This window comes from Homo sapiens, chromosome 3 (genome assembly GCF_000001405.40).
Source record: "Homo sapiens chromosome 3, GRCh38.p14 Primary Assembly".
Classification (NCBI taxonomy): Eukaryota; Metazoa; Chordata; class Mammalia; order Primates; family Hominidae; genus Homo; species Homo sapiens.
Genome location: NC_000003.12, coordinates 76,319,779 through 76,329,430, shown reverse-complemented (window position 1 = coordinate 76,329,430; position 9,652 = coordinate 76,319,779). Strand labels below are relative to the sequence as shown.

The 9,652-nt window shown below is 34.8% G+C and overlaps 1 protein-coding gene across 29 annotated transcripts in view; it reads right to left on the bottom strand.

Annotated features, from left to right (window-relative positions):
- ROBO2 (roundabout guidance receptor 2) overlaps positions 1–9,652 on the bottom strand; it is a 1,743,290-nt gene that overhangs the window by 1,320,534 nt on the left and 413,104 nt on the right. The gene's annotated exons all lie outside the window — the stretch shown is intronic.

The following is a 9,652-nucleotide window of genomic DNA, read 5'->3' as shown; positions in this document are numbered from 1 at the left end:
GCCCGGCCAACACGGGGAAACCCCATCTCTACTAAAAGTACAAAAATTAGCCGGGTGTGGTGGTCCACACCTGCAATCCCAGCTACTCAGGGGGCTGAGGCATGAACACTGCTTGACCCAGCAGGTGGAGGTTGCAGTGAACTAAGATCGCGCCGCTGCACTGCAGCCTGGACCACAGAGCGAAACTCCATCTCAAAAAACAAAACAACAAAAAAAAGTCCCGGGCTCCTTCACTGCGGCAGGAGTAGCGCCGCCTGACCTTGTCGTGTCTCTCCGTGGGGGACTTGGGGTAGGTGAAGTGGAGCGTCACATCCACGAGCTGCTTCCTGCGCTGAGTGTGCAGCTTGTCCACCGACTCCCTCTGATCCGTTGAGCTGTTGCCTCCTTTGGGGACCCTGGAGTTCTGACAACCAGTCTGCTTGTTTGAATAGTCATCTGTTTGGAAATCTTTACTAGCTGTCATTCTTTATGAAGTTGGAGACATATGACAACTAATAACATATATATATATATATATATATAATAACATAAATATATATATATATATTTGTTTTTGTTTGTTTGTTTGTTTTGAGACGGAGTCTCGCTCTGTCGCCCAGGCTGGAGTGCGGTGGCGCGATCTCGGCTCACTGCAAGGTCCGCCTCCCGGGTTCACGCCAGTCTCCTGCTTCAGCCTCCCGAGTAGCTGAGACTACAGGCGCCGCCACCACGCCCAGCTAATTTTTTGTATTTTTAGTAGTGACGGGGTTTCACCGTGTTAGCCAGGATGGTCTCGATCCCCTGACCTCGTGACTCACCCGCCTCGGCCTCCCAAAGTGCTGGGATTACAGGCGTGAGCCACCGCGCCTGGATAATTTTTTGTATGTTTAGTAGAGATGGGGTTTCACCGTGTTAGCCAGGATGGTCTCGATCTCCTGATCTTGTCATCTGCCCGCCTCGGCCTCCAAACTAATAACATATTTTATAAAAATGCAATGATATATGTTATACTAGGAAATTAATGGACAAATTTTGAGAGAAATTCTTAAAAGAAATGCTTGAAAAACCTTTGCTAGTACCTAACGTTGAATTGTTATCAAATTACCTAGTTACCACAATGAATACTTTTGGGAATATCTTCCAATTGGTTAATGGGATATTCAGCAGCACTCTATTCTCATTTTAAATATGTATATAATCTGAGAGTTGGACGGGAATATGTAGATAATCTCTCATCATAATGAAGATTGTGCTCTGCTCAAACTTCTAGTGACAATAAATATTAATGGTCCCAAGATAGATATATCACTTTTGGATGATTTGTAGTCATCAAGGAACTATTGTATATGTTGATCTGAAATCTGGGACTTCTTAAAGAATCAATTAATTTAGTGAAGGCTTCTTTCTCTTCTTTCTGGTTTCTTCTTTTTTTTTCCCCTTTGAAACACACATTTAACCCATCTAGGGCAACCTTTCCCTGTCTCATTGATGCCTCAGACTACCTCTTTTCCTATTTCCACATGATTCTGAAGAAAGTGATCTTCCCCATTATCCAGACTTAACACTTTTTTTTTTCACATTCTTCTGAAGAAAAGTCTAACACTCTATTCACCGTTGTCTATATGTTCTTTAATCCAATATTTCAAAAAGCATGACATCCAGACTGTTTCCTCACAAAATCTGCACATCATATGAATGGAGCCAAAATGTGAATTTGCCTACTTTTTCTTAACATTCACATCATGTTGCCTGCTTAAATAGGAATTCTTAAAATGTGAAATGATGCCAATGATATTTAAGCCATTCAAAATTAGTGTTTATATTTATGCAGGCTAGATTTAATCATATTAGTGTCCAAGGATCATCTTCTGCTTCTAATATACGAAAGATTCTTATTAAATACTGGTTAATAGAATCAAGAATTGTTTAATGAATTTTTACTTTTTATGATATTGAATTGTGACACTGCTGGCCAAAATTCTAGCTAGCTTTTAATAATCTGTCATTATCAAATTTGAAAGCACTTCTTCACATATTTGAAATTATAACAAAAATTTACTTTAAAATGTATATCAAGTATTAAATTGAAAGGAAATTCATAACATATAAGCCATGCATAGCTAATGAACAAATATATAAATATTACCAATTTAGGTATATTATTAATAAATTTAAATTAAAATCAGGTTATATCAGGTTATACTATATTTTATATCAAATTGAGAAAATAGATACTTTTCTAAACTATTGAAAGCACATTAGTCATTTAAACTCAAATCAGTTTGGCATGTAAATTGGTGCTCTTTTATAAAATGCTCCTTGGGCATTATGAATCAAGAGCCTTAAAATGATTATATCTTTTGAGACAATAATTCTTCTTCTAGAAACTTTGCCAAAGGAATAATCAGATTTATACTCAAAGATATTCATAACATTGGACATAATCTAAAGGTGAGTAAAAGAAAATAAGATACAAAATTATGTATGTAAGATAATAATTCTATGGTGTATATGTGCCACATTTTTGGATGAAATTGGAAACCATCATTCTCAGTAAACTATCGCAAGAACAAAAAACCAAACACCGCATATTCTCACTCATAGGTGGGAATTGAACAACGAGATCACATGGACACAGGAAGGGGAACATCACGCTCTGGGGACTGCTGTGGGGTGGGGGGAGGGGGGAGGGATAGCATTGGGAGATATACCTAATGCTAGATGACGAGTTAGTGGGTGCAGCACACCAGCATGGCACATGTATACGTATGTAACTAACCTGCACAATGTGCACATGTACCCTAAAACTTAAAGTATAGTAATAAAAATAAATAAATAAATAAATAAAAGATAATAATTCTGCATATGAATAAATTTTTCATTCGGTATATGCATTATGCAATATAATATATGCATTATGCAATGTAATATACATATATGTATGTAATATATGCATTATGCAACATAATACACATATATTTACTAGTATGTACATGGTATGTATACACATATTTACTAGTATGTGTGTATATATATGCACAAACACACTCATCCATTTATCTGCCTATCTACATGCATGTGAACATCAAAAAAAATACTGGACAGGGTTAAAGTGAACATTCTTAGAGTGTAGAACTAAAGTGACTATTCTTACAAAGAGGAGTTATAGTCATTTTTATTCCCTTTAAATTTTTCTCTTATTTCCAGTGTGTCTACATTGATCATGTGCCATTTTTTAAGTGGAAGATAAATTAAACCTTAAGCTTACTTAGTGTCTAACCTCTGCCAACACGCTATGATAATTACTCAAACTGGTAAACAGCTATTTTCTAAGACCAAAAGTCTCCAAAACATGCAGAATAAAATATTTAGCATCATCAAAAATTAATCACCAAAATAACATATTCATGATTTTCAACATGTTTTTCTTGGTTGCCTAATGTTCCTGATATCATTTTTAAAGACACAAGGTTCATTTCTCAAGTGAGAAATGTATTTTCTACAATACTGTTAGGCTCAGAATAATGGAATCTTGAATAATTCTCTGATCAATGATAACTTCAATCCACCTAACTTTTGTTATTATAGTTATTCAAGCTTATGTCGTTCCTTTTTGTACAAGGAACAGGTATGTTTTATTCCCAATGCCTTTCCACGTGTTTTTACTGTCAAATTAGCTCACAGGGAATACTTGACTATTAACAATATCAAAACAGGGTTGTTGTTTTTTTTTTTAATTTGGCCTTTTATTCTTATTTTTTGCACTGTCTCTGTATCTCGAGTAGCATTAATAAAAAATCAAGGGAGAAACTTATTCAACATCACCTGCTTTGGCTTATAAACTGATTAAAATGCAAACAAATTATTCATAATCCAGGCTACAACCAACTGTTTACAAGTATGGTCTGATACCTGACATTTTACAAGTATGTTTACAAGTATGGTCTGATACCTGACATCCCCAAACATTGGGAAGGTAATTTTTAAATTATTTATAAAACGAAACTAAGGAAGTATTGAGGAATAATGCTATAATCAGACTTCCTTTTATCAACTTATTTATGCTCTATTAACTTAATTATTGCCATATATAGAAATGCATCCTATAGTAAACTTAGTTTAATCTACTGTACAATAATTGTGAACTTCTGCTAACTGGCTCTTTTTGCTTTGATACCATAAAAGTTGACATTCATAATGAAGGCTCTGAGCCATTGTGATATTATAAAATATGGAAATACAGCAGAGCGTTTACATTGTAGTGTTAAATAAAATGTTGCATTTAAAAATATTTTAAGTTAGGCTTTTATTTGAGTCTGATCTGTTTTGTTTGTTTGTTTTTGTTTTGAGACGGAGTCTCGCTCTGTCACGCAGGCTGGAGTGCAGTGGTGCGATCTCTGCTCACTGCAAGCTCCGCCTCCCGGGTTCATGCCATTCTCCTGCCTCAGCCTCCCGAGTAGCTGGGGCTACAGGCGCTGCCACCACGCCCGGCTAATTTTTTGTATTTTTATTAGAGACGGGGTTTCACCGTGTTAGCCAGGATGGTCTCGATCTCCTGACTTCGTGATCTGCCTGCCTTGGCCTCCCAAAGGAGACTGATCTGTTTTTAATATTCCTATTAATAGTCAACTTCATTTATCAGAAAATCACATTCTCAGATTATATTAGGTAACAGAGAAATTGCATGTAGTAAAGTGCTTTTTTTTCCAGAGAAGTTTTTTGATATTTAATTCCAGAATTATTGAGGAAGAAAGGACTCATGATTTCAAGAAAAAATTCTTTTACTCATTCAAAGATTTCTGTTTTCATGTACTTTTGAAAATTAGACTCACGTGGATCTTAAACATGTTTTGAATCTACACACAACACAGATTACTTAAAGCTCTCCAACCCATAGCAAACATGCTATCAGGTAATTTAACGGATTGAAGAAATTGCTAACTTGTTAAATGAGAGAAAAAATCTCCGTCCTGCATTCTGCCTTATCAACTGTTCCAAACATATTCATTTACAGTGACCTTTAGAAACCACCCTAAATCAGTAGCTGTACATTTTTTTAACAATGAATTTTATTATCTACCTAAGGTATACACAAGCAACCACATTGACTGGGATTGAAAGAACACACAGCTTCAGTTCTAGAAGAGCATCACATATTACGTCTCAAAGCATTTGATTCATCCCTTGTGGTTTTTGAAGCTAGAAAAGTGACCTTTTTTCTTTTTCAGTGTTTTACTTTTGGCACGTCAAAGTACTCCCATGAGTAACCCCGTTTCATCCTACAATTTCTTCCTTTAAATAGTGTTATGATAAGGAGAGGAAAGAAAAAAGACAGCAATATTGAACATTTAGTGTAGTATGGTGTGAGGCTTACTAGAATACCAAAACTGTGATAATGATAGATCATTGTATTGAAGTTATGTCTTGATCCTCAGTAGAACTTCTACCATTTCTCAATGTTTATGTATTATTCAGAATAATAGTGACCTGAAACAGAAAAAGCTTCTTATCTCTTAAAACTTTTATTGAGAGGAGTTCAAAATGCTCACTGTTAAGTGCTATTCTGTGTGTATTTAATGTAGAGTGAAAAGCACTTTGGTATCCATTTTAGATTGACTGGCAACAAGACAGACAAGGAGGCATGTGCTGGAGTCATGAAGATACATATGAAAAATTAAAAGTTTAAAATTAATTTGAACTTGTAATGCACCACGTGGAAATCCAAAAACCAATTTCCAAATGAAACAGCTTGAAACTTTTTCTTGCCATCTGGTTTTGGACCTGGCTCATTCAATTCCAAGTTTGCCCTTGTGAATACTCCAATTTTATATATGTGATCTGGAAACGATACTCTCCATGCCACCTAAGCCTGTCTTGTTGGATTTCTTAAAATAGAGGGTTTGCTTTTTCTACACCATCAATATTCTCCAAATACCTCTTAATCATAGACTCATTTGTCTTTATTTTAAACCAGATGTGATATTAGTACTTAATTTGTTGAGGTAATGAACAGTGATTGCATTTTATTTGACTAAAAATAAAAAAATAATAGTATGCATCTAACATTTTCACATCTATAATGAGCCTAAAATACAGATTGATGAATTCGAATGAGGAGAAAAAAAATCCAGATTTGGCTATTTGAGTTTTAAGAAAGAGAAAAGTAGTGCTTAATATAGAGACACAGGATTAAATAAGATTATACTTGGAAAGCATTTAACACAATGCTGGCACACAAGAAATGCTCCATGAATCCCAGCAATTAGCCTTTAGGGGTGTGTGTGTGTGTGTGTGTGTGTGTGTGTGTGTGTGTAATACTAACAATAAGTAAAAGATTTGAGTATAGTTTTTCCTGAAGAAAATATTTATTGAAAGACCACTGCTACACTGCTAGTTACTTTGCATATATGACCTTGTTTGTTCCACATGAAATAGCACTGTGAGAATGTGAGAATCACAGAAGTCAGATAATTTGCCTCAGAGTATACAACTAATAAATGGCAGAGATGTCAGCAGAAATTCAGTGTCTCTGTTATTTCTTGGCGATATTTCAAATAAATTTAGCAAACGTGAGCTGCTACCCCATAAAGTTATTTTAATTGCCTTTAAATGTATCTGCAAGATATGGATAAGAAGGTTGCTGTAATCAAAATTGTAAGAATTTAAACTATAAATAGGATATATAAGAATGCATCTTCTTGGTGTACTTTGTGCTCATTTAGTTCCTAAGAGTCTGTTCAAATCTAACTGAAAGTGAATTAAAGTTACAAGAAAAACTGACTTCCGGTAACTTCGCCGCTTCTTTTTAAAATTAATTATTATAAGTCAAAATTTGTGCTTGGGAAAAACATGCTATCACTTTCAAATTATTTAACTAGTGTACCCACCCACTTGCCTAGGATTCTTCAAACAGATGAATAAAATCATACTTTTATGTATACATAAGGCATTTAAAATTATAACAGTAAATCTTAAAGATCATCCAATAATGTGATTATGATATGAAGAACTCTTTTTAGAACATATATTTGAGGCTCCAAGTTACACATTTATATCTCTATGAAATGTCTGTAAAAATGATAACTGATAACATATAACTGATAAATGAAGCAAACGTTATAATTTTTACACACAGTGAAATGTAGTAATTATAAAAGATGAACTATTTGTATACAGGATAGATTTATATACTAATTTAGTTAAATGTACACTATATAATGTCTGTGTGTATATATGTGTGTGTATATTATATATATATATATATATATATATATATATATATATATACGGAAGAAGTAGAAATCATTTCAAATAAACCACTTCAGAAGATGATTTGCACAAGATATTTTATATAAGGCAAGTAAATAGTTTCAGGAAAAGTTTTCAGTAACAGTGACATCATAGATGAAACTCTTCACACTAAGAGAATAGGACCAGCCCTACAACTTTATTCTAGCACATGATTCTGTGTGCTAGACCTTTATTCTAGCACATGATTCTGTGTGATTGCTTTTGTTTTTAAGATATCAAAAAGTAAATCTTGCAAATGTAATGAGGGAAAAGTACTCCAGGGTGACCGGTAAGAAAGTTTGTCACCCAGGTAACGCACACAGAATTGTTCCCTAAACACTGCAGTCATCATATGACGTGTCCTGCCAAGTCTTACAACGGCCTTTTATTTTCAGTTCTATAAATTCTAGATTCATCTTCCTGCTTCTTACAGCTATACTTAACTGACTCTGTTGTTATTTTCCACTAATTCTCAACACACTGTCCATTAGAATGGGGGTAGGTTACTTGACTGTCCCCTAAATGTAGCACAGTTTACCTGGGTTGAATGCCTGGCTGGTTGGAAGTGGACTACCATGTAACATTAGTCAAGTTGTTACTTTCATAAAACCAATGGGGTTGATACACGTAGCATATAGTTGTTGTTGTTGTTGTTGTTGTTTTTTGAGATGGAGCCTCGCTCTGTTGCCAGGCTGGAGTGCAGTGGCATGATCTTACTGCAACTTCCGCCTCCTGGGTTCAAGAGATTCTCCTGCCTCAGCCTCCTGAGCAGTGGCGCGCCACCACGCCCAGCTAATTTTTGTATTTTTAGGAGATACAGGGTTTCACCATGTTGACCAGGATGGTCTCGATCTCTTGACCTCGTGATCCGCCCACCTCGGCCTCCCAAAGTCTGGGATTACAGGTGTGAGCCACCACGCCTGGCCTAGCATATAGTTCTATACCTCCCTGTGCTCATTTGCAGTTATCATTGTTTGAAATATATTTTCCTTTTATATTGCTCTATTTAGAGCCTAGGAACTGGAGATGCATAATTTACAGGTCATGCATTGTACAATATATTTTTCTAAATGTATCTTCATTCTTGTCTTCTCTGATGACTTGTATTATGTTTCTCTTAGGAGCATTCAGTAAATATTTATTGAATGAATGCATGTATATCTTTTAGATTTTCTACTAGGCTACATAAGTCCATGGCTATAGTAGATAGACTACAAATATTTTGTTAATAGTACAGTATATCTACGTTGTTCCATATGAAGTGTACAAATTACCTTCATAACATCTTTAGGAGCCTCCAATGGAAATAGGCAATCAGTAAAGATCTTCATCTAACAGTGCATTAAGTCCTACTCATTACACTTCGCAATCAACAACCTCAACCCTAAATCCCTGTATGTTTCTCCACACTGGTCCATGAAATCCCTCAACAGGAATGGGACATTATGTTAGATAAATGAAAATCTGTACTTGTTAGCCAGGAGCAATTCTTAGGCCTCTATGGATTGTAGAAGGTACTTCTGTGACATTTCTGATTGACCTAAAATAAATTCTTTATTAGCTGCCAACTATTACATTAGAGATTTCACAAAATGCCGCTGTCTCCAGAACATAATGTTGGACTTTGCCCAGCTTGATAACTACTTTTTTCATGACAGAGTTTTTGACATTGATATGAAGGGATTCTACAGAGCATATGTAGGGTCTGTCCTAATAGCTGATGTGGTGAACTCTTCATAAATTGACAGAAGGAATGAATTTCTGTACCTCATCCTGGCAAAATACAAAGAGCTGTAAATTGACAATACTGAATGAACTCATTACATCTTTTTAATTTTTCTGAATAATAATATCAGGAAAATATTTTCTCTACATAAGAATATAGTCATATTAATTTAGCATTTTGTACAGAAATGAAATTCAAAATGTAGTCATTCAAATAAATATTATTGCTAAAGGTACATAAAGTTTTATTGTTGTTTTTGCATAATAGTGAATTGGATAATATCCTACTTAATTCTATAAAAGAATTTCATTACAAAATGAAATCTGAAGCAAATATGATAGGCTTAATTTGATGTGTAGTTTGTTTTAAATAGCAAATTGGACTATATTTCAAACTAAATCTGTTAGGTATAAACCATATCCTGCCTAAAAAGAAATGGGTTCACAACAACTTCCCCTCCGTTTATCAAATACAGATGCCTTCCCCCCTCTAATCCTGGGATACAGAGTATTTCCTAGACCATATCACCATGCCACACACCAAAATTCCTACATAGATTACTTGAATTTCTACGTTAAGCTAAATTATAACCTATATTCAATAGCTAAAGATACTTATAGATATCACAAAAACAAGAACAGGAATAACTTTGTATTT